Source organism: Homo sapiens, chromosome 5 (assembly GCF_000001405.40).
Source record: "Homo sapiens chromosome 5, GRCh38.p14 Primary Assembly".
Lineage (NCBI taxonomy): Eukaryota > Metazoa > Chordata > Mammalia > Primates > Hominidae > Homo > Homo sapiens.
Window position 1 is genome coordinate 26,304 of NC_000005.10, and position 26,756 is coordinate 53,059.

Here is a 26,756-nt window from a genome sequence, read left to right on the forward strand (position 1 = left end):
CCAACACTTGCCATTGATACTTTTTCGATGTTAGTGGGCAGGGGAGGGTAGTGAAAGTAAAGCAATCAGAGCTCCGATGGGTGCACATTGTCTTCCCTACAAATCCATTTCTTGTCCAGCCTTCCTTCCTCATTGGGGCTGCTCTATCTTTTTCTGCGCATTTGAACTGCTCCCCTGTGGGCCATTCTCATTTGCTTTACTTCCTTGTCTGAATTCCATGGGACCTGCATTTAAGAGGAGAGAGGAACCACTTTGGGACTGGAGGAAGTTCACCTTATGCCATATGCCTGCCTCCTTCCTCTACAGTGAACAGTCTCTGGTGTCCCTGGGTGTTCAGTTTCTTTCCACTCATGTATTACTGACTGTTCAGGTGGCAAATGGCCCGTGACCTTTATGGTATTAAAAAGAAAAAATAAAAAGCTGTGTTGCTTTTTTTTTAACTTTTATTTTAGGTTTGGGGGTACATGGGAGGGTTTGTTATATAGGTAAACGCGTGTCACAGGAGTCTGTTGTACATGTTATTTCATCATCCAGGTATTAAGCCCAGTGCCCGATAGTTATGTCTTCTGCTCCCCTCCCTCCTCCCACCCTCCCCCCTCAAGTAGACCCCCCAGTGTCTGTTGTTTCCTTCCTTGTGTTCACAAGGTCTTCTCATTTAGCTCCCACTTATAAGTGAGAACATGCCGTATTTGGTTTTCTGTTCCTGCATTAGTTTGCTAAGGATAATACCCTTCCGCTTCATTCATACTAATGAAAAAGACATAATCTTGTTATTTTTTATGGCCACATGGTATTCCATGGTGTATATGTAACACATTTTTTTTATCCAATCCGTGATTGATGGGCATTTGGGTTGATTCTATGTCTTTGCTATTGTGAATAGCACTGCAATGAACATTTGCATGCATGTATCTTCATGGTAGAATGATTTATAGTCATCTGGGTATATACCCAGTAATGGGATTGCGAGGTCAAATGTTTTAGTTCTGCTTTTAGCTCTTTGAGGAATCACCATATGTTGTGGGAAGTCAGGGACCCCAAACGGAGGGACCGGCTGAAGCCATGACAGAAGAATGTGGATTGTGAAGATTTTATGGACATTTATTACTTCCCCAAATTAATACTTTCATAATTTCTTATGCCTGTCTTTACTGCAATCTCTAAACATAAATTGTAAAGATTTCATGGACACTTATCACTTCCCCAGTCAATACCCTTGTGAGTTCCTATGCCTGTCTTTAATCTCTTAATCCTATCAACCGAGGAGGATGTATGTCGCCTCAGGACTATGTGATAATTGGATTAACTGCACAAATTGTACAGCATGTGTGTTTGTGCAATATGAAATCTGAGCACCTTGAAAAAACAGCAATTGTTCAAGGAATAAGAGATAACCTTAAACTCTGACCACCAGTGAGCCGGGCAGAACAGAGCCATATTTCTCTTCTTTCAAAAGCAAATGGGAGAAATATCACTGAATTCTTTTTCTCAGCATGGAACGTCCCTGAGAAAGAGAATGTGCACCTAGGGGTAGGTCTCTGAACTGGCCCCCCCGGGGTGTACCTGTCTCTTATGGTCGAGATTGCAGAGGTGAGATAGACTTCAGTCTCCCATAGCACTCCCAGGCTTATTAGGAAGAGGAAATTCCCGCCTAATAAATTTTGCTCAGACCAGTTGATCTCAAAACCCTGTCTCCTGATAAGATGTTATCAATGACAATGGTGCCCGAAACTTCATTAGCAATTTAATTTCACCTCGGTCCTGTGGTCCTGTGGTCTCACCCTGCCTCCACTTGCCTTGTGATATTCTATTACCATGTTATGTACTTGATGTCTGTCACCCACACCTATTCACACACTCCCTCCCCTCTTGAAAATCCCTAATAAAACCTTACTGGTTTTTGTGGTTTGTGGGGCATCACGGATCCTACTAATGTGTGATGTCTCCCCTGGATGCCCAGCTTTAAAATTTCTCTCTTTTGTACTCTGTCCCTTTATTTCTCAAGCCAGCCAATGCTTAGGAAAATAGAAAAGAACCTACGTGATTTTGGGGGCAGGTCCCCTGAAAACCATACTGTTTTCCACCATGGTTGAACTAACTTACACTCCCACCAACAGTATATAAGTGTTCACTTTTCTCTGTAACCTTGCAACATCTGTTAGTCTTTTACTTTTTAGTAATAGCCATTCTGACTAGTGTGAGATGCTGCTTCACTGTGGTTTTGATGAGCATTTCTCTAGTGATCAATGATCTAGAGCTTTTTTTCCATAGGCTTGTTTGCCACATTTGTCTTTTTTTTTTTTTTTTTTTTGTGAGACAGAGTCTTGCTTTGTCATCCAGGCTGGAGTGCAGCAGCACGATCTCCACTCACTGCAAGCTCTGCCTCCCGGGTTCACGCCATTCTTCTGCCTTAGCCTCCCAAGTAGCTGGAACTACAGGCACTCACCACCACACCTCGCTAATTTTTTGTATTTTTAGTAGAGATTGGGTTTCACTGTGTGAGCCAGGATGGTCTCGATCTCCTGTCCTCGTGATCCACCTGCCTTGGCCTCCCAAAGTGCTTGGATTACAGGCGTGAACCACCATGCGTGGCCCACATGTTTGTCTTCTTTTGAGAAGTGTCTTTTCATGTCCTTGGCCCACTTTTTCGTGGTGTTGTTTTTCTCTTGTAAATTTGTTTAAGTTCCCTATAGATGCTGGTTATTAGACCTTTGTCAGATGCATAGTTTGTAAATATTTCCTCCCATTCCGTAAGTTGCCTGCTTACTTTGTTTACAGTTTCTTTTGCTGTGCAGAAGCTCTTTAGTTTAATTTGATCCCACTTGTCAATATTTGCTTTCGTTGTTTTGCTTTTCATTGTTATTGTGTATCTTTGTCACGAAATCTTTGTGTGTTCCTATGTCCAGGATGGTATTGCCTAGCTTGTCTTCCAGGGTTTTTATATTTTTGGGTTTTACATTTAAGTCTTTAATCCATCCTGAGTTCATTTTTGTGTATGGTGTACGAAAGGGGTCCAGCCTCAATCTTCAGCACATGGCTAACCAGCTATCCCAGCACCATTTATTGAATAGGGAATCTTTTCCCCATTGCTTGTCAGAAAAGCTATGTTTCTAAGCCTTCACCCAACATACCTTTAACTTTTGACCACATCTCTCCCCCAGTCAATAGGCTCCAGGAAATGGGACAGGATTCTTGGAAATAAAGAGCTGACCCTGAGACAACGCAGGTAAACACAGACTATCTGCTGCATCATAAGTAAACAAAATGTGTGTCTTTCATTCAATATTAGACAATGATAGACTGAGTATGTAAGCATGTTACCATCACAGGTATGGAAGTGCCTAACTATGACTTAAATTGTAGAGCCTCAGATTTTAGATCTGGAAGAGCCATGGGTTTTAATCCATGCTGGGAGAGGCTCAAGGTTACTCTGGAGAAACACACAGTTTGGGGAGGCTGGAGACTGAGGGGTGGGCTCCCATTCCCCAGCTCCTTCAATGAGTCTGACCTATTTTATAAATCAGTTATTAGAAAATGATTCAAACAACTCAACCCAATTCCCTATTATTTGGTCAAAGCCATCAGTCCTCATGCTTCTTGCTGCTGCAGCTGTGGGCTCCCACTCTCCACCTGCTCTCCTGCCCAGGTTGGGGTGGCCAAAGACCTTCTCTTGCTGAGGAGAGAGGTTAGGGAGGGACCATTTTTTGATTATTTGAGGGTGTGGTTCAGTTGTAAACAGTGTAAGTTTTAGAATTTGTGTTATTGTGATGGCGATGACCAACTGCAACATATTTCCCATTTGCCTTGCAATAATAAGAGCATGTATTTTACGCAACTGAAGTTTTTGGATCCTCCTTATTTACTTTACTTTATTAAGAATAATGACATTTGAGCAGAGAACAGTTCTAATTTTGCATCAGAGTCAAAAGTGAAAATGAAAGGAACTGACCCATGAAGGAACAGGTGTGAGTTGTTTACTTCATTCCTGCCTGTCCTGGTTGATGTTCAGCTCTGGCCCTTCATCCCACTTTCAAGTGTGGTGGATGCCTCATCTAGGAAAGGCCCTCACCACGCTGACTCCTTCTACTCACTCAACTGTACTTACTTCTCTTATTCCTCTATGAACACTGTTTTCTAGGTTGGGTGTGTTTTCTGTAATAAAAAGGTATTGTTGCACCACTTATTGACGACTTTTTTGGATGCCATGCTAAGCATTTCATAGTCACGAGTGCATTGTACAAACTACCCTTTATAACACTCCTATGAATTTATATTCCCATATGAATTGGCCTGAGGAAGTGGCGTGCTGGAGAGATTAAGCAATTAAATGACAGTATACAGTTAATTACTGAGGGGATTTGGGCTTGGACCTGGATCTGTGATTCAAACACTCATGTCTATAACCACAGGTGCTGCCACATCATTTGCATCAGGATTTAGAATCTCTGCTGGCAGGCCTGGGAAGATGCATTGTAACCAATAAGAGGTAATTGCCACATTTACCGAGTTGTGAGAACAACTGTACGGCCTCTCAGAGAATGCCAGGCGCCCCTGTGTTTGTCTCAGTGTCTCCAGCTTGAATTGCTTCACCCCTGGCTCTCGGCAGTGCTGCTCCTCTCTCCTGCATGGATCACCTGCTCCCGAAATTCATTCTCCCATTTCTTAGGTTGCCACTTTACCGTAGCTTCCTGATCTAAGGTAAAGCTTTGATGCTGTGCATGTCCCAAAATGCCTGAGCACTATTTTCACACTGGGTTGATGGTTTAGTTGGGTTTAAAATATATATATTTCTCTCAGAATGTGAAGGCCAAATTTCATTTTCTTATTATATCTAGAATTTCAATGGAAAACTTCAGTGCCATTTTGGTTCTTGATTCTTTGTAGGTGATCTTTTTCTTTCACCTCTCTGGAAGCTTTTCAGCTCTTTATCTCTGATGTTATCAAATTTCACAATAATGTGCTTCAGTGTAGAAGAACTTTGAAATTCAATTTGAGGGGAACTCAATAGATCTTTTAAATCTGGAAATTCCTAAACTTTATTTCTGGAAAATGTTCTTGATTTTTAAGTTGAGATATAATTCACATACTATAATTTATTCATTTAAAGTGTACAATTTAGTACTTTCTAGAAGTAGCACAGACTTCACCACTATTTAATTCTAAAACGTTTTCAGCACCCCAGAAAGGAACACTGTATTTCCCATTTTTTCCCTCCTCCAACCTCTGGCAACCATTCCTTTTTGAGGCTGAATAATATTCCATTGTGTGGAAATACTTCATGTTATTAATCCGCTCATCAGTTGGTGGACATTTGGGTTGTTTCTTCTTTTTGGCTACTATGGATAATGCTGCTGTACAAGTTTGTGTGTGGACATATGTTTTTAATTCTCCTCAGTATGAAGACTTGAGTAGAACTGATGGGTCAAAGAGTAATTCTATGTCTTACTTTTTGAGAAACTGCCAGACTGTTTTCCAAAGCACCTGTACCATTTCAATCCCACTGATATCTTTTCTGACATTTTTATTCCTTCCGTCTGCTTCTTTTTTTTCTTTTTGTGAAATTCTATTTTAAACTTTGAAGATGAATCAGGAAAATCAAAGCAGCTTCTTCAAAAACTAAATTACCAGAAAATGATATATAGGAGATACAGGGGAAATGTATAAATTATATAGACTTAAAAACACATCAGCTAATCACAATGTATGAATTTTGTTTGGGAATATAGACAGAACAGAATTGTCCATGTGTTTCTGGTTGCTCTGAAGGGTTATAGATATATAGGGGTTTGTTATATTCATTGTTTATTTACATATATGTTTTTAAATCTCCATATAAAGGTTTTAAAAATTCCGTTGGAAGACTTATGTTTTAAAATGTACTCAGAATTTGTTTTAATCGGGGATGTTAAGACCTGCAGACATGGAAGTGACTGTCCTGTGGAAATATGTTCATACTCACAGATCCCTAGAAATAGGAGGCACAGGGAAGCCCCAGGCACAGGCAGGAGAGGGGAAGGCATGGGCAGGAGCCTCTGCTGTGATCTCCGTGGGACAGCAAGGCCAGGCAGGGCAGGCAGGCTTAGGCTGGCCAGCCTGAATAGCTTCAGCAGGCTCTGGGGCATAGGGGCCATCTCTAATTGCCTAGTACCTGGCCCTGGGGTGATTAGGGAAGGGCGGTATTGTCTCTTACAGTATCAGAGCCAGATAAAGTAGGTGGTTAAGAGTGCGGGTTTTGGATTGATAGTTTAATTGGCTGGCCCTGGGAAAGGCAATCTTTTCCCAGTAAACACCAGATGCTAGAGCATCAGGAAAATAGAAAATAAAAAAAATAATTAATGCATTCTGTACGCACAGATGGAGAATTCCTTTGCTTCCCCAAAGGAAGAGTGCACAGGAGCCTGGCACTCCTGGACCTGAGGAAACCCTGAAAATGTTGGTAGCTGCAAATCTCCAAAAAGAGGTCGCCAGTCTCCTAAGACTGCAAGACTGACCCAGCATTCTGGGAGCCAAGAGGCAGAAAGAGTCTGCGGATCTCCCTGCTCAGTAAATTGGCTTTCACTAAATACTCTCTTTGCATAAGCAGCGTTACCCAGTGTCCTGGAGCTTAGAAAAGTCCTGTTTCAATGTCTGAAGAAAATAAATTGTTTCTTTTTCCAGTGTCAGGGAGGAGTATTTGACTGCCAGTGTGGACTGAGGGGTCTTGGGATCACACTCTTCCCAATGTGCTTTGAACCGACCCTCTGTGCCTGCCTCACCATCTCCTCTGCTTACCTAGACATGTGGAAACCCTAACACAAGCCCTTCTAGGAGTCTGTGGTGTGGCTCAGCTGCCTCTGTAGTCATCTCTCTTCCCAATATGCTTTGAACTGGCCCTTCTGTGTCTGCCTCACCATCTCCTCTCCTTACCTAGACACTTGAGAACCCTAACACAAACCCTTCTAGGAGTCTGTGGTGTGGCTCAGCTGCCTCTGTAGGCATCTCTTGGGGTTAAACATTTTCCACTCTCCTAAGGCAGTGCCATCTATTCTTCTGCTTCATCTTCAGAAGACACTGAGCCCTTCCCCACCCTCCCTTCCCCACCCCCCACACCAGGTCCATGGCGCCCTTGAGGCCACAGGGTTGCTGCCATAAGATTTTTGTACTGACTGCTCTCTCCAAGCAACTGTGAGAGATTTCTATGGGCAAGGCCTCCAGGTTCCTGTCAAATCAAATTGTAGTTGAATGTTGGATACTATTCAAGGAGCATCCCCTTTTCTCCTTCCTAACAGAGCCCTGAGTTATTCAGTCACATGGTTTGAAATATGGGGTGGGTGCTGGTTGACTTAACCTAACCAGCACTGTCTCACCCTATGTCACAGTTATTGGTTCCAAGGTGGGTGCGCAACTGAGGCTCATGCCAGGTGCCACACAGCACTCCCTTGGTCCCCCTAATGGACTTGGGGATGGGCAAGGGCCTGAGTTGTTCCAATTAGAGTCAAATACAAGTTGTACTAAGAGAGTGCTTGTTCATGCTCCCTCTTTGATGAAGAATGCAGCCTCAGAAATTATTCCTGGAGATTTTGCCATGCTAAGACTGATTCTGACTTCACTGAAGGCAGAGCAGAAAATTGGGAAGAGACTGAGTCCTGGGTAGCATCCATGAACTTCTGTGCTCAGATTCACCCTGAAGCCTGGCCTGCTTCTGAACTACCCATCTGAGTCAATAAATTGCCTTCTTATTAAAGTCAAATTGAGCTGGATTTTTAGTTACCTGCATCTGCAGTTGTTCTGTGAAGCTAATACTATGAGTTTGTATCTGAGAATATTTACAGTGCTTCTCTCATGGTTGAGTCAATCATTTCAAGGGTGCTTTAAGGGTAAAAAGAATGATCAATTGTGAAGCAGTGAATTATGCTGCCAGGCACAATTCATTGGGCAATATAAAACTTCATTTCCTGGGCAGTAGAAAGTTTCATTGTACATAAATTACATATCTTGTTTCTGCCTCAACCTCCTATTTATTCATAGGCAAAGGAGATAAGGAAGTCCACATAAGTCCAGCAGCTAATATGCCTCTCGGGCATCATCCAAAACAGATTTGAATTATGCAAGCCTTGTTAAAATTCATCATCATCATTCATATTTCTGAATATTTAAATTAGAAATTCTGAAAAAGTAGTTTGATTCAGAGGTAGTTTGTATATATGTAGGCATTTTTTCAGGATCAAAAGCTTATTTTTTATTGTCTAATTGAGTTTAATTTACATATAATAAAATTTAGTAATTTTAAGTGAAGAAATCAATGCATTTTGACTAATATATATAGTCATGTACACAACACTACCATTTCACTTCTCTTGGTTGAAAACATACGAGGAATTATTATTTTTTAACTTATGGATTTTTAAATGATTGTCAGTTACTTTAAAAAATGTAAATTCTTAATTTTAAAGGTTTAGGATGTCTGACAAATCTGACAAAAACAAGCGATGGGGAAAGGATTCCCTATTTAATAAATGGTGTTGGGAAAACTGGCTAGCCATATGCAGAAAACTGAAACTGGACTCCTTTCTTACACCTTATACAAAAATTAACTCAAGATGGATTAAAGACTTAAATGTAAGACCTAAAACCACAAAAACCCTTGAAGAAAACCCAGGCAATACCATTCAGGACACGGGCATGGGCAAAGACTTTATGACTAAAACACCAAAAGCAACGAAGCCAAAATAGACAAATGGGATCTAATTAAACTAAAGAGCTTCTGCACAGCAAAAGAAACTCTCATCAGAGTGAACAGACAACCTAAAGAATGGGAGAAAATTTTTGCAATCTATCCATCTGACAAGGGTCCAACATCCAGAATCTACAAGGAACTTAAACAAATTTACAAAAAAAAACAAAAAACAAAAAAGACCCCATCAAGAAGTGGGCAAAGGATATGAACAGACACTTCGCAAAAGAAGACATTTACGTGGCCAATAAACATATGAACAAAAGCTCACCATCACTGGTCATTAGAGAAATGCAAATCAAAACCACAATGAGAAACCAACTCATGCCAGTTAGAATGGTGATCATTAAAAAGTAGGAAACAACTGATGCTGGAGAGGATGTGGAGAAATAGGAACACTTTAACACTGTTGGTTAGAGTGTAAATTAGTTCAACCATTGTGGAAGACCATGTGGCAATTCCTCAAGGATCTAGAACCAGAAATACCATTTGACCCATCAATCCCATTACTGGGTATATACCCAAAGGATTATAAATCATTCTACTATAAAGACACCTGCACATGTATGTTCATTGCAGCACTATTCACAATAGCAAAGACTTGGAACCAACCCAAATGTCCATCAATGATAGACTGAATTAAGAAAATGTGGCACATATACACCATGGAATACTATGCAGCCATAAAAAAGGATGAGTTCATGTCCTTTGCAGGGACATGGATGAAGCTGGAAACCATCATTCTCTGCAAACTAACACAGGAACAGAAAACCTCACTTCCATGTTCTCACTCATAAGTGGGAGCTGAACAATGAGAACACATGGACACAGGGAGGGGAACATCACACACCAGGGCCTGTTGCAGGGTGAGGGTCTAGGGGAGGGTTAGGGTTAGGAGAAATACCTAATGTAGATGACAGGTTGATGGGTGCAGCAAACCACCATGGCATGTGTATACCTGTGTAACAAGCCTGCAGGTTCTGCTCCTGTATCCCAGAATTTAAAGTATTAAAAAAAATATAAAAGTCACAGGATGTTTGTGATAGTATCTGTTACGCTGATGCTGCCATCACATGGTTGACTATGTGGAGACTCCAAGTGAAATTTCTTGCAGTTCTCGGTGGCAGGAAAATCTGTATTTCTGGATAAAACTAAAAAAGTTTAGAAAAACATTCAAGTTTCATAGTCTAGAGCTCTAACACTGGAATCTTTTCCAAATTTCAGGTTTAATGATTTACCTAAATCTAAAAATAGTAGGTTGCAGATGTATTTAAACAGTGTGCCTAGGTAGTATGTTTATATATTAGGATTAAAATGGCCTTCTAAAGTTTACTAATTCTAATATAGCCTTTATTGTTTCATGTAGACATATCTTTCCGATTCCCAGGATAATTTAAACAATTAATTCAAAGCAACTATTGACTTAGTTCTAGATTGGGATATCTATTTATGCATTTGAAGCTTTAGATATGTATTTCAAATTAGAAATGTGTGCTGGTCGGCCGGGGGCGGTGGCTCATGCCTGTAATCCCAGCACTTTGGGAGGCTCAGGCAGGCAGATCACCTGAGGCCAGGAGTTCAAGACCAGCCTGACCCACATGGAGAAAGCCCTGTCTCTACTAAAAATACAAAATAAGCCAGGCATGGTGGTGCATGCCTGTAATCCCAGCTACTCGGGAGGCTGAGGCAGGAGAATCGCTTGAACCCAGGAGGTGGAAGTTGCGGTAAGCCGAGATCGCACCATTGCACTCCAGCCTGGGGAACAAAAGCCAAACTCCGTCTCAAAAAAAAAAAAAAATATATGTGTGGTGGTCATGGAAAGTTGTGACTTAGAGTCTCAGGTAAGTTTTGTTTCCATGTGAACACACTGCTTCCAATTGATGTTATGCCCAGAGCAATTAATAAATATCCTTTGAACTGAATTAGTGATTAACTGCAAATATCACAATACATCTTCTTAGTGGGCATGATAATTGGACATATTTAGTCCTTGCTGTGACCTGAGAAAGGAATTATTTTCATTAAATGTTTAATGTTTCACCCTGTTCATGCAGCTGGAGTTACTGATTCAGTTTGATGTGAATTCAGTCTTATAAAAGACCCATCATTATAACCTGCACTTATGCTTCCTATAGCATCGGAACTTCCAACTTGTAGGCAAAATAGATAAGATTTATATTCTTAAAAACCACAAGAAATCTCCCTTTATTCACAATAAACATAGAATTAGCTATTCTATTAACCTGAACAATAGAACTCACTGGGAGTGACCACATACCCAATATCACGCATTGCCCGAGTGTCTGAAAAGGTCAGTGGGCCATTTTGCTCCATGCTGTGCCACGGGCCAACCACGAGGGCTGTCAGTGACTCACTGCGTGGGCCACCCAGGGCATGTGGTGCTGAGGCTGTCGAAGAGCAAGACGAGGCTGTATTTAAACTCAGGCCTCTGCTAAGTGTCAGAACTTGGGTAAGATGCCAAACACTTTAGAGCCAGTTTCCTTTTCTATGACTGGGTTATAACACTCACCCTGTCAGGTTCTCGTGTGCGTTGACAAGGCCGGCACGTGACACACCAGGGGCAGAGTTGGATGTGAACCTTCTTCCTCAGACATCAGGGTCCTCATGAGCATCAACAAAATAAGGAGAGCTGTGTCAGGACTGCAGCAGGGACTCAGCAACAATCAGTCTCTTTCTCTTGTCTCATCGAAATCATATATTTTTTAAAAAGGTGCAGTTATCATGGATGTTTATATTGATTCCTGGGATCAGACAAATATACCTTTCCTTGTCATGCTGTTTTCTCTTCCTAGGTGGTTTGAAGAGCTTTGTTTTGGACTTGATACTCCTGGAGCGCACATGAGAAATGAGCTTTGTTTCGGACTTGATATTCCTGGAGTGCATTTTTTTTTCTAATTAGTCCAGTCTTGACCCTGAGCCATCACCCCTCCAGAATAGCAGGACATTCCACTCCACTGTAGTTGGGGTGCCACAATTTCACTACTAATCAAAGGCTCCTTGGTTTCTGAAAAGTGGGAGAAGTACCTCTAATAATCAGTCTAGATTGTCACTGCTCACTTTCTCGTTTTCCAATTCCACAGGAGCCCCCAAAAGCCCAGAAGGTTTCATTTCTTAGCATCTTATAGACCATGGGAACCAGGAAACACTGGAACCCCAGGGCCTGCACCCACCTCATTTGCACCCTGTCTCTGTTTCTATCACCCTGTAGGCATTGCTACAGAGCAGTGTTGGGACCCACTGGTGATCTGACTGCTTCCAGCCTGGGAAACTGCCTTCTTCTCTCCACTGATATCATGATATTTCTGCTTTCCACCCCACAGAAATCCTTGAATGAAGCACAGAAGGGATTGGTAGTTACCTGGTGTGAAGCAGAGCTGAGGCTATGGGAGGAAGCAATATTGCAATGGACTCTGTCATTGATGTCACTAGTGTGTAAATCTGTTACCACTATGGTCAAATTTTTATATTTTTTAAGATTATAACTCATTCTGCTCATTGTATTCAATGCAACATCTACCCTAAAAGATACCCAGGCATTAATTTATGCTTTTCTGTTTACAAATGAGAATTTATAAGCAAATTGAGGTAGCAATTAGATATTTTTTAATTGAAGGCAAAACAGAAGACACATACACATACATCAGTGAAACAGAACAGAGAGCCCAGAAACAGACTGAAATACAGCCAACTGATCTCTGACAAAGGAGCAAAGGCAATTCAATGGACAAATGGTGCTGGAACAACTGGACATCCACGCAGAAAAAAAAATGAATCTATAAACGGACCTTACACCTTTTACAAAAGTTAATGCAAAGTAGATATTAGATCAATATATGAAACGCAAAATTTTCAAACTCCTAGAAGATAACATAAGGAAAAACTCTAGATAACCTCGGATTTGGTGATTTTTTTTAGATACAACATCAAAGCATGATCCACGAAGAAAAAAATTGGGAAGTTGAACTTTAACATAAAAAAACTTTTGTTTTGTGAAAGATACTGTTAAGAGAATAAAAAGACAAACCACAGACAGTGAGAATATATTTGCAAAATACATCTAAGGATTCATATATGAAATATTCAAAGAACTCTTAAAACTCAACAATAAGAAAACAAATGACCCAATTAAAAATGGGCAAAAGCTGAACAGATATGCAGATGGAAATTAAGTATATGAAAAGATGCTCTGTATAATATGTTATTAGGAATTGCCAATTAAGACAAGAGTCAGATACCACTACACACCTATTAGAATGGCCAAAATCCACAAGACCAAAAACACCAAATGCTGGTCAGGATGTGGAGCAACAGGAACTCGCATTCATTGCTGTGGGCATTATGTGACATTTTGGAAAAGGGAAAATAACATAGATAGTAAAATATCTATGTAATTACGTGACATTCTGGAAAAGGGAAAATTACATACATAGTAAAATAATCAGTGGTTGACAGGGATTGGGGAGAGGAAAGGATGGATGGGCAGAGAGCCCTGGACGTTTAGGGCAGTGAGACCACCGTGTGTGATTTCACCACAACGGTAGACCCACGACAGTGTGCAGATGCCAACACCCATTGAATGCAGACCACGAAACGGTATTAATTACATAAACTATAAACTTTCTTAATGAAATAAATCCTGTTTTAAAAAAGTAGACAGTTTTGTTCAGTTACTGCCTACTTTCTGAAATGGAGATGGTGGAGTGCTTCCAAGGTTGTGAGGATAAAAATAGCTTAGAGAATATAATAACTAAAATAGGTGTGTAAACATTGTTAGACTATTTTATTCTCATTAAAAACATGCCTTAAAAAAATTTGCTATTTTTTACGACTGGGCAAGTAGTGCAAACACATTATTATAATTCTCCTCTAGCTCCACTCAGAAGTCAGGACTGCAGGGCTTCGGTGCAGGACTGCACAGCTCCACATGCACTTGCCAAACGCAACAACCTCTTTCAGCGTCACTAAAATATATCAATAGGAGGATTGAGTTTAGACCCAACCTGTGTTTTCTCCCCTGGAAAACAAAGGTTTTCATGTAACAAAGAAGGTCTTTACCGCCCTCATCTGAAACGCTGAGGCATCTCTGATGTCTGCTGTAAGTGCCGCCAGGCTCTCTGAAATCTCGCAATGGGAAAATGGACTGCAGATTCTGCTTTTAGAAAGGCGGGAATCAGAACTCATGTCGAAATGCCATGTCCTCATTCATACACATCTTCTTTTACAAATCCAACATGTTTAGTTACTTTGGGATTAACATGGGCCTATTTTAAAGTGCATTTATTAATGTAGCATGTGTTGTCCAAATGCATTCTGGATCCTGAGCCGACATCCAGCAATGCTGAGTGTGCGCCTGTGTGAGTCACCAGCACTGATGAGCCTCAGGTTATTGTGTTCGTAAAATGAAGGGGCTTAGGCTTGCTCCGATTTTTTAAAAACGATTTTTAATAGCAAACGCTTTTTTTCTTGCTACATAAAAATGCACAAGAAAAACTCAAACATTACCAATGATAAATTATAATTTCATTAATATAAATATTTTTGTGAACTCAATTTATATGACTTAGTTATTATAAAAGAAATAAGCAATATGAGGTGGCCATTACCATCCTTTCCTGTTTTATTTTGTTCATATGCTATTGATAAATCTTGATGTACACAGAAAAGTAGTTTTAAAGAATACTTTTAAAAAAACTTGACTTTAATTTCAAGAGACTTTTAAAAAATTCCTGCAATTGCTTTTTAAAGATTCTAGAACAGTTTTCTGTATCTTAAAGCTAAATAACTAGAAAGAGCTCACTCTTCTCACATTCTGTATTATAAATATGTAAATCAGAAAAGGAACAGACAAAATCATAAAAACACATGCATGAACAAATGGGCCTTGGTTTACATTGAATTGGATCTAGAATGCACATAGGTTATAGTAGTATTTTTGTGTGCAATTTTACATGAGTGGACTGCTGTCAAAATAAAAATTGTCTACAAGCTCTATTCAGTGGTATATTTGCACAAATGGTAAACATATACATAGAGATCATGGGAGAAATTTATTTCATGGCTTACAAGAAGACAGGTTAAGTTGGGACATTTAATTGTTTCATTAATGCTACATTTTATAATGCACTTGTATGGGCATGGTATTTAAATGTATTATCACAACTTTTAAATGCTCATTGTTACAGATGGAATTATTAGAGAAAGTACTAACTTATATCTTCTTTGTGTGTGCTTTGGAAGCACCAGGAAATAATAAAGCAGCCCTTTTCCCTTTTCCCATCTATTTCCTGAAGACCAAGCTGTGTTTTTGCAGATTAGGCCTTTCTGTTAACACACACACACACACACACACACACACACACACACACGCATGCATGCACACTCACGCACGCACGCATGCACACACACACACACGCAATATAGCCTTTAGGAGTTTAAAGGAGGGAAAGAGAATATGCCTGGATAACTCTCACCTAGGTATTTTCTGGGGAGATCTAGAATCATCTAAGGGGGTAAGCTGGACTAGCCAATGGGAAATCAAAACGAAGATACTGAAGAGATGTTCCCAGAAGAGGAGCATTCCTAATGGGCTAGGCCCTAGTCACATGCAATTCCCCAGATGTGGTTGGTGTGGCCAAGGTTCCAGCATTTGACAGCTGCCTTCTTGGCACTTCGTGTGCTGTGAGGAGCATCCCTCCCCAGTGCCAGGGGCAGTGGTCCTCTCACCCCCTTCAGAGTAAAGGGCCAGCAATTGGCAGTCACAAGAAAAGTAGTAAGATAGGAAGGTGAGGAGCATGAAGTCCCACCATACCAGCCTCCTGTGTCTGGCACAGAATATGATGAGGAACCTCTGTGAACTGGAATCTTCCATATCTTGATACATGGGAATTTCTGCTAGATATAATTTGACTTATAAAAAGAAAGAAATATGACCTTCTTGCATCTAAATATTGTAGAAGAGTTAATGACTGTAACATGGATGTTTTACATTCTGAGATGCTATTAAATCAATACCTGTCACAAAAGTATTCATAATTTTTTAGAAGAACAGAAGCAATCTCATCATATTAAATGCAGTGGATCAATTGTAAGATACATGCTAACGCCACAAAAAGTAAAGCATGGGAAAAAACATCTGTCTTAGAATGGAAAAATACAGTAGTTAAACTATTTTTAACTAGAATTTAAATGCAACATTTTAGGATATGAAACCCTCAACTCATTTTGAAAACTACTGGCTCAGATGAAACCTCTAAAAGATCATGAAACTAATCAGATAATTTTCTGTGCCTTTGCCTGAGAGTCTATCTGAAAGTGGTGCAATTTTTACAGAAGAGGAATAACGTGTCCCGAACTGGGAACCCTTCACGGGCCACCATTCTGGGTGGCGCTTCAGTGTAGAGTTTTGGTCAGCAGAGGGCTCCAGGGGACTGCTGGGGAAGGCCAGGACATGGAAGAGGGCCTAGAGCCAGGATTACCTGGGAGAGGGTGGACCAATTTTGTCAAGCGCCTGAGGACCATGCCATACAGGATTCTCTCAAAACCACTCACACACTAGGTGGGAATAAATGATAAGAGAAATTAATGTGTGCTTAGCATGTGAGAGCCGACACTCATTCTCTCTCAAAGACAAAAAGTGATTTGATGGCCTCGACTCCACGAGAAGGAGCATCATCTGTGGTCCTTCCTGGGGGTGAGGGGCGGAGAAGTGAGGCAGGCGTCAGAAAACAGGAGGGTTGATTAAAATCTGTACATTGACAGTCAACCCTCATTATCCTCCCTCACCGATGCCTGCACCCCACCCCTCGGGTAACCAGTGAGTAGAACACCAACAACCAACAAGCAAGCACCTGCCTTCCAGAGAGGAGAGGAGAAGGTTTTCTCCAGAGAAAGGAAACCATCCAGACCAAAGGCATCACTTACTAACATGCGGAAACCCCATCAACTCCCTGAAGTAAAACCTCTAGATGAGCCTTTCACTAATGATAACACAGACTCATTCTCCTTCTTCATGTGCCACTATTAAATGTGAACAGTGAAGAATCACCTCCAGACGAGCCTTTCACTAATGATAACACAGACTCATTCTCCTTCTTCATGTGTCACTATTAAATGTGAACGGTGAAGAATCACCATCTAGATGAGCCTTTCACTAATGATAACACAGACTCATTCTCCTTCTTCATGTGTCACTATTAAATGTGAACAGTGAAGAATCACCTCCAGACGAGCCTTTCACTAATGATAACACAGACTCATTCTCCTTCTTCATGTGTCACTATTAAATGTGAACAGTGAAGAATCACCTCCAGACGAGCCTTTCACTAATGATAACACAGACTCATTCTCCTTCTTCATGTGTCACTATTAAATGTGAACGGTGAAGAATCACCATCTAGATGAGCCTTTCACTAATGATAACACAGACTCATTCTCCTTCTTCATGTGTCACTATTAAATGTGAACAGTGAAGAATCACCTCCAGACGAGCCTTTCACTAATGATAACACAGACTCATTCTCCTTCTTCATGTGTCACTATTAAATGTGAACAGTGAAGAATCACCTCCAGACGAGCCTTTCACTAATGATAACACAGACTCATTCTCCTTCTTCATGTGTCACTATTAAATGTGAATGGTGAAGAATCACCATCTAGATGAGCCTTTCACTAATGATAACACAGACTCATTCTCCTTCTTCATGTGTCACTATTAAATGTGAACAGTGAAGAATCACCATCTAGATGAGCCTTTCACTAATAACACACTCATTCTCCTTCTTCATGTGTCACTATTAAATGTGAACGGTGAAGAATCACCTCCAGACGAGCCTTTCACTAATGATAACACAGACTCATTCTCCTTCTTCATGTGTCACTATTAAATGTGAACGGTGAAGAATCACCATCTAGACGACCCTTTCACTAATGATAACACAGACTCATTCTCCTTCTTCATGTGTCACTATTAAATGTGAACAGTGAAGAATCACCATCTAGACGACCCTTTCACTAATGATAACACAGACTCATTCTCCTTCTTCATGTGTCACTATTAAATGTGAACAACGAAGAATCACCAGACATTGAAGGGAAACCAATCTTAATGGGAAAAAACACCAAGGTAAACTGGCAGGCGGAATGATTGTTAAGAACCTAACATCGTAGCAAAATAAGAAATAAGAGTTTTATATCATCATTCACTTAGTGGCACTGTCTGGCGTTTCAGTACACAACTTGGATGTACTTTTGGGTTTTTTTTGTTTCATTTTGTTTTGTTTTGTTTTGTTTTTTTTTTTTTTTTTTTTTGGCACAGTCTCGCTCTGTTGCCCAGACTGGAGTAGAGTGGTGCAGTCTCGGCTCACTGCAACCTCCGTCTCCCAGGTTCAAGTGGTTCTCCTACCAATTTTTGTATTTTAAGTAGAGACAGGGTTTCGCCATGTTGGCCAGGCTGGTCTCAAACTCCTGACCTCAGATGGTCTGCCCACCTTGACCTCCCAAAGTGCTGGGATTATAGGCATGAGCCACCGTGCCCAGCCTGATAGAATTTTAACTATTAGAAGAAATCATAGGAAGCTACCATTCGAATAGATCAAACATCAGCAATATATTAAAATATCAGCAATTTCACATGATCAAGATTATTTTTAAAAAATAAAAAGAGAACAGAATTGATTCAATTTCTAGGCCAGCAACCAAGGAAAAAGCAAAGAATGAAAGATTTTATAATCGCATCATAATAGCAAGATCTTATATTTCTATTGAGCTTTAAAGATTACAGGCCAGGTGCGGTGGCTCACGCCTGTAATCCCAGCACTTTGGGAGGCCGAGTCGGGCGGATCACAAGGTCGGGAGTTCAAGACCAGCCTGGTCAATATGGTGAAACCCTGTCTCTACTAAAAATACAAAAATTAGCTGGGCATGGTGGCAGGCACCTGTAGTCCCAGCTACTCGGGAGGCTGAGGCGGGAGAATCGCTTGAACCCGGGAGACGGAGGTTGCAGTGAGCCAAGATCGTGCCACTGAACTACAGCCTGGGTGACAGAGCAAGACTCCGTCTGAAACAAACAAACAACAACAACAACAAATTACAAAACACAACAATATACATTGTCTTGTTTGATCTTTAAACAATCCTATAATTGTAATTAATATATCTAAAAATTGTAACTCTTGAGAAATCCAGGATGACATAAATAAGGCCTAAACACAGCTTTAATTTGCCAAGTAATGGGAAGAGAAGGGATCGGAAGCCCGGCTGACTGACCCCACAACCTCTACTTCCAGTACTTAAAAGAAGTCAGCCAGGACGAAACCTTGGGAAGGACCTGAGATAAAGGCAGTGGGAAAAGAGCAGAGTCAAGGATGATCTATGAACAGGTAAAAAAAGGAATGCCTTAAATACAAAAACATATGTCCACAGAGCTGGGAGTTGTACGAAGCCGTGTAATTAGAGAACATCATGTTGACAGCAGACTCTTGACCTAGGGGGAAAATGTTCATGACACTGACTCCCAGAAGGATAAACCTCAAGGATTCCAGATATGAGGCAGTCAAACCCTCAATTGGAAGCACTGTACAAATGTTCATGGCAAGAACTGAAATGAATTTATACCCACATAAAACTACATGTAGGGAAATGCTGACTTTGTAAGATGTTTCTGGACACTACATTAGCAGCTGTGCCACACACACACAACACAAACTCAGGCAAGCCTGTCACCTGCACAGCTGGAGGGTTAGCTTGGACAGGGCGATTACAGTCTCCCCCAAAACCCTTCCTTCTCGTCCATGCCTGAATCCTATTCACATGCTACAAGGACCACATGCTTGTGGAATCCAACTCAGCTCACTTTAGAACCAAAGGATGCCTCTGTGACACATGCAGAAATGACTTCCTTTTCATTTTCATTCAGTCTGTAGGAAGAGAACAGCTGCAAGAGAGAGAAAGAAAATGTACACACTGGCTAGGTGGAGACGGCACCTGAAGAGTGACTTTCATGTTTAGCCCCAACGGTTTATAAACATTCATGTGGAGATTAAAGATATTCCCCAAAACCAGAAAACACAACTGAGTCAGCTTCTGTTAGTAAGCATCGCGCTGCAACCCGGAGGCCAGATGTCCTTGGAAAAGATCAGAGACATAAAACATCACCGCCTCTGTTTATGCAGCTTACTGAAGTTTACACGGAATCCTCATGCCTTCCCTGCGTTTAAGCCTTCTATGCAAATGATAGAGACTCTAAGTAGAGAAGGAGCAGCAGATTCTTGTCCAGTTCCGTGAGTCAACACCTGCATTGTCTCACTCCCCATGTTGACGGCTGTAGAGGACTTTCCATTCTCTGCCCCTACTGCCTCCAAAAACATTGGTTTTACATTGCCATAGCTAACATTAATACCTCCTAGAATAAAGGGGGAATCACCACCGAGTGTCAGTTCTGGTTCAGATGCTGGAGTGAGGGTGTTATTCTTCTTACATATAATGCAGTAACTCCACATTGCACCAGTGGTTTGGTCAAAAGAGACTAAATTTCTAGGGAATTAGTGTTGATTATTTTTAGATATCATAACCTTGGCTTTACTGACACCTTATATTAAACAGATCTTACTTGCCAAATGCCACAAGATGCAGGCTGACAGATGGGCTCCCAGGGCTCTTGTGAGCCAGAACTGTCATATATGCAAAACGACGAGACAGAGAACACTGCCCACATCCAACACAGCACAGCCACCCTGAAAGCCTCAGCATGTAAACTTTCGTGGCACCACCCTTTCTTTTAGAAATGTGTTTAGATTTTATAGACTTTTGCTAGATTTTGTTATATAAGCTTTATGTACTGAAAGGTCTTACAGATTTTTAAATATTGAGTAAAATGTTCACCAGTATATTTTATATATATATATAATTTTTTTTCTTTAAAAACAAGGCCCTGGCTGGGCAGGTGGCTCACGTCTGTAATCCCAGCACTTTGGGAGGTTGAGGCAGGCAAATCACAAGGCCAGGAGTTCGAGACCAGCCTGGCCAACATGGTGAAACCCCGTCTCTACTAAAAATACAAAAAATTAGCTGGGCATAGTGGCGAGCACCTGTAATTTCAGCTACTTGGGAGGCTGAGGCCCGAGAATCACTTGAACTTGGGAAGTGGAGGTTGCAGTGAGCCGAGATCACCCCAATGCACTCCAGCCTAAGCGACAGAGTGACACTCCATCTCAAAACAAAAAACAAAAAACAAGGCCCTTATACAAATCACCCTTCAAACTTTTATTTAGAATTTAAGGTCATTTGGGGCTGTCATGTAAACAAAATTCTCCCAATTGCTAGGGTCCTCTTGGGGTGCTGCATTCCTGCAAGCCATGATCATGCCAGGCTTTGTCAGTGATTGGAAAAACAGATCCTTCTCCATCTGGGAGCTCAAATGCCTAGGGTGATGCCAGATCAACTTTTCATTACTGAGTCATACATTCCTAAATTCAGCGTATCACAGACAAACAGACATACCTTTAACAGTTTAACCTGACAAAGGTCTGAAATATTTCCATTGCAATAAAAGTTGTGAAAAGGCTATCTTGCTAGAGATCTCTGACTCAGAGAAGAAAGTGAAGGCTGGGCATGGTGGCTCACGCCTGTAATCCCAGCACTTTGGGAGTTCGAGGCAGGTGGATCACTTGACATCAGGAGTTCGAGAGCAGCCTGGGAAACACAGTGAAAGCCTGTCTCTACCAAAAATACAAAAATTAGCTGGGCATGGTGGTGTGTGGCTGCAGTACCAGCTACTTGGGAGGCTGCGGCAGAAGAATTGCTTGAACCTGGGAGATGGAGGTTACAGTGAGCCAAGATAGAGCCACTGCACTGCCTACAAAATAAAAAAATAAAAGTAAGAGACAGTAAGAAAGTGAAGAATCTCAGTGACTGCAGTGTTTAGGAACAGAATTTCTTTCAGGGAGGAATAGGGCTCTGAGTGTACAGAGCAGCAGTGGAAAGAATCACACAAACCCCTTTTTCCATGCACTAGATCTCGGGGTATAACTTTTATGAACTTTAATTTCCTTCTAGTTAAATAAAAATAACAATATCTACTTGATGTGTTGCCTTGTACGTTGTGTATGAAGAGCCTAGAATGACGATCGACCCAAAAATGGAGTCAGTACTTTGATCCATTCACTCTTGGGTGCTGGGCTCCTCAGGGCATAGGCAGGAGGCACAGCTGAAAAGCCACCTGTGGGTCCACAGGTGCTGCTGGGGAGCAGAGTGAAGGAGGAAATAGGACAGGTGTTAAGGAGAACACAGGTGCAGCTGGAGAGCAGAGTGCAGGAGGGAATAGGCCAGGTGCTAAGGAACATGCAGGTGCAGCTGGAGAGCAGAATGAAGGCGGGAACTAGAACAGGTGTTAAGAAACATGCAGGTGCGGCTGGAGAGCAGGGTGCAGGAGGGAACTGGGACAGGTGCTAGGGAGAACACAGGGCAGCTGAGGGACAGAGTGAAGGAGGGAATAGGACAGGGGCTAAGGAGAACACAGGTGCAGCTGGAGAGCAGAGTCCAGGAGGGAATACAACAGGTGCTAATGAAAACACAAGGGAACCTGGGGCACAGAGTGAAGGAGGGAATAGGACAGGTGCTAAGCTTAAGGCAGGTGCAGCTAGAAAGCAGAGCGCACGAGGAAACTAGAAGAGATGCTAGAGGAACACACTGAGATAGGTCCTGAGGGCTCCACTGAACCATACTTACCACTGCATTTCAGAGTTATTTCCTCTCATGCATCTATTTAAAAGGTGATCATTTGTGCACACTTTCTATCCTGCACTGCAGCTATTTTAAGTATTCCTTAAAATATTTTAAGTATTGTAAAATTCACAATTACAAAAATATGGAACCAGCCTAAATGCCCATCAACCAATGAGTGGATAAATCAAATATTATATATATACACACACCATCAAACTCTACTCAGCCATAAAAGGTTAAAAAATAATGGCATTCACAGCAACCTGGAAGGAGTTGGAGACCATTATTCTAAGTGAAGTAACTCAGAAATGGAAAAACAAATACTGTATGTTCTCACTTATCAGTGGGACCTAAGCTATGAGAATTCAAAGGCATAAGAATGACAAAATGGACTTTGGGGACTTAGGGGAAAGGTGAGAGGGAGGTGAGGGATAAAACACTACACATTGGGTACAGCGTACACTGCTTGGGTTATGGGTGAATCAAAATCTCAGAAACCATCACTAAAGAACTTACACATGTAACCGAAAACCACCTGTTCCCCAAAACTATTGAAATAAAATAAAATAAAATAAAAATAGCAGATATCTTATTCCTTTGGTAGTCCCCAGGGCCTACCTAGCTCAAGAATTTACTAAATGCTTGTAAAATATAAGAATAAATGGAACTGGGTAAAAGCAGCTCGTACAGAGACGTCCAGCCATTTCAGAAGTGTGAAGGTTCAGAGCAGCCGGCCCTGAGCAGAACCTGGGGCACAGCACTTCCGGGTTAGGGTCAGGGTCAGGGTCAGGGTTAGGGTCAGGGTCAGGGTCAGGGTACAGCACTTCCGGGTTAGGGTCAGGGTTAGGGTCAGGGTACAGCACTTCCGGGTTAGGGTCAGGGTTAGGGTCAGGGTCAGGGTACAGCACTTCCGGGTTAGGGTCAGGGTCAGGGTCAGGGTTAGGGTCAGGGTCAGGGTCAGGGTACAGCACTTCTGGGTCAGGGTCAGGGTCAGGGTCAGGGTCAGGGTTAGGGTCAGGGTCAGGGTCAGGGTACAGCATTTCCAGCGCTGCCAGCGGCCTCCTTGCTTATGGTGCATGTTCTAACCCTCACAAACCACAAGCTTGTCTTTAAAAACATCAAGTTGAAATAAACCACATATTAATTGAGGTAAAATAAGTGGCCAGAGAACCCACATAATTTAGTTGCAGTAAACTTCTGCTGCATATTTAAAGGAAAATAAACGAAATAATAGTTTTCAAAACATAAAAATTATTCCACTCTTTCTGAAAACACACTGCTAATCTAAGCCTAACCAAAAAGCTAACCCTAACCCTACCACTAACCCTAATGCTACCACTAGCCTCTAACCCTACTGCTAACTCTAACACCTAACCCTAATCCCAAACCCCTAAACCAAACCCTAGTCCTGAACCCTAACCCTAACCCCAACCCAAACCCCAATACCGACACTACACTAATCATAACCCAACCCTAACTCTAACCGCAAAACCCTAACCCCTGACCCTAAACCCAACCCCAACCCAAAACCTAACTCTAACCCCTGAACCAAACCCTAAAACCCCACAAACCCCAAAAATATTCCAAACCGAACCTCACCCTAACCATAAATCCCAACCCTAACCCTAACCCTAAAATCTATCCCCTAACCCCAACTTTAACCCTAACCCTAATCCATAAACCTAACCCTTAACCCCGACCCCGCCCAAACCACAACCCCAGCCCCAAGCCTAGCGCCAGCCATCACCCTAACCCCTAACCCGAACCCCTACCCTAACCCCTTCCCTAACTCTAACTTTAACCCTAACCCCATACCCCTACCCCTAAACCCTAACCCCAATTCCAACCCCAACCCTAACTGTAACCCTAACACTTACCCGTGACCCTAACTTCAACCCTAACCCTGACTTTAACGCTAAGCTCAAACCCTCACTCGCCCGGGTGCTCATTTCCACACCCACTCCGGTGCCGGGTCTCGCCTCTATCCACCTTGTCCCTCGTCCGTGCCCCCGCTCACTCCGGCGCCCGGCTGCTGCCCCACCCGCTTCGGTGCTTGTGCCCTCACCTACCCTGGCGCCAGGACCGCCTCTGCTGACTGCGCGCTGAGACTCATGCTGTCTCCGGGTCCCCGGAACTCCGCGGAGTCCGGTTAACTCCAACGCCTAATCCTAATTCCAAACCTGGGGATGCCCGGGGCCCGGCGTCTTCATCCCGCTGGGCACTGGGCCGGGGAAGCTGACCCGGCGACCTCAGCTGCCCGGTTCCCGGGGACCTGCCCGATCCAGGGCCCCCGCGGCGAGAGATGGGCGGTGGCGGCGCGGCGCTGCAGGACGCAGTCTCCCCCGGCCTCGCCCTCTCCGTCCCGGCGGGGCCGTAGTATCCCCGCGGAGGCTCGGAGGGGCCGGCCTGGGTGGGGCATCTCCCTGGTCTGCAGTTCTGGTTGTTTTTTTGTGGCTCCATGGTAAGCACCCCACTGATCTTATATCTTCCCCCCTTTTCCTGAAAGTCTGTTTTTTCATCCTTCCTTCCTTTTCATCATCTCCCGTTTTCAAAACGGCTCTTAAACCATGCGCAATGCGTTAACGTTAAGTCGTCATTTCCATCTACTCAATGACAACGTTTTATCACGTGTTGTTCTGACTTCCATTTTTGTTGTGTATTTGGTTCCTTGTTCTTTTTCTTTTCTTCCTGGGCTGGTTCCTCGTTCACTCTTTCTAGGTATGAGTGAACGGTTCCTTCCGGCTTGTCTAAATCTTCCATCTTTCGGGGTGGGTGGTGCTGAGCGGGCTCCAGGTGTGCGCCCTGCTCCTGCGAGGCGTGTGAGCGCTTATCGCACCCATGGCCCCTGCGCGCCTCTGTCCTGCCGGGTTCCCGCAGAGGCGCCTGGTCCACACGCTGTTTCTCCCTCTTCGCCTCCTCTCTAGCCCAGACTCCGGAGCAGGTCCCGGCTGCGTCTCCCACGTCTGGGTGTAGACCCGCGGTGTGGGCAGCCCTTCCTTTCGCTGCAGCCGAGTCTCCGCTATTACCGTTCAAGTTGTCCCTGGGTGGATTCTGAAAGGACAAGGGGGAAACGGCCCGCTCTACTCCATGGCGGGTCACTGACCTTCTGTTACATTTTATTTTACGTTGCCTTTGGCAGTTTTGAAACTGACCAATCCTTTTTGGAAATAAGAGAAGGTATAAAACCAAAAATGTTTTTTCAGTTCCTTTCTGAAAATGTGCTCGTTTTGGAGCCACTTGTGAGGACAAAGAGTTTGGAAAATTTAAGTGTCTCTACTTCTTCACTGTGTTTTGCTAACAAGAATGAAAAAAAAAGCATTAAAAATGGCCTTAATAAACGTCTTTCAACCTCAAACAGGACTATGTTATCAGGTAAACTATGTTATTTTCAACAAATCTTAAGTTCCTACCGCAATGGAGAGACTTTAGGTCCGTAAAGAGCAGTTGAGGCCGGGCACGGTGGCTCACACCTGTAATCCCAGCACTTTGGGAGGCCGAGGTGGGCGGATCACCTGAGGTCAGGAATTCAAGACCAGCCCGACCAACATAGTGAAACCCCGTCTCTACTAAGAATACAAAAATTAGCTGGACTTGGTGGCACACGCCTGTAATCCCAGTTACTCAGGAGGCTGAGGCAGGAGCATCGCTTGAACCAGGAGGCACAGGTTGCAGTGAGTGGAGACGGCGCCACCGCACTCCAGCCTGGGCAACAGAATGAGACTCAGTCTCAAAAAAAAAAAAAAAAAAAAAAAAAAAAAAAAAAAGCAGGCAGTTGAAACGCTTCCTCGGCAAGAAATAGACCTTTATGCGTGGCGGGGGACAGTCAGGGCGACAGGGGCTTCCCGAAGCTCACTGCCCAGAGGAGCAGAGTTTCAAGTTTGTTCTCCTTTCTTTTTTAGAGACAGGGTCTCGCCCTGTCGCCCAGGCTGGAGGGCAGTGGCGCGATCTCGGCTCACTGCAGCCTCCGCCTCCCGGGCTCAAGCAATCCTCCCGCCTCAGCCTCCGGAGTAGCTGGGACCACAGGTGCGCCAGGCTAATTTTATTTTTACTTTTTGTAGAGAAGGGGGTCTCACTACGTTGCCCAGGCTGGAAGTTTATTTTTAAGGAAATGGCGTTTACCTAAACACCAGGAAGCCTGGCCCTAGCACTACTGCGCCTCCACCTCAGCCCCCACTCCACCCGCACAGGTGAGGGTGCTCCGGAAAGGCTCCTGGGGCCCGGCTTCTTCATCTCCAGCCTCCGCACCTGGCGGAGGGAAGGGCTCGCCCCTAACCTGAGGTCAGAACTTGTTCGGGACCGCCGG

At 42.9% G+C, this 26,756-nt stretch overlaps 1 long non-coding RNA gene across 2 annotated transcripts, besides 1 other annotated feature; it reads right to left on the reverse strand.

Annotated features, from left to right (window-relative positions):
* Window positions 1–17: 17 nt before the first annotated feature.
* On the reverse strand, window positions 18–24,700 carry LOC105374602 (uncharacterized). Of its 2 annotated transcripts, none has more exons than XR_001742541.1 (3): window positions 24,523–24,700; window positions 11,244–11,335; window positions 18–224 (listed from the first exon to the last, which is right to left on the reverse strand). It is a non-coding gene; the product is annotated as an uncharacterized LOC105374602 (long non-coding RNA). The 2 variants fall into 2 exon arrangements; XR_001742540.1 differs by lacking the exon at window positions 24,523–24,700 and adding an exon at window positions 11,496–11,798.
* Window positions 24,995–25,908: an enhancer, noted in NCBI's record as "H3K4me1 hESC enhancer chr5:51413-52326 (GRCh37/hg19 assembly coordinates)". NCBI's record gives its function as "activates a minimal SCP1, AML or CMV promoter by ChIP-STARR-seq in naive H9 embryonic stem cells {active_cell/tissue: H9 hESC(naive)}" and the evidence as "EXISTENCE:reporter gene assay evidence [ECO:0000049][PMID:30033119]".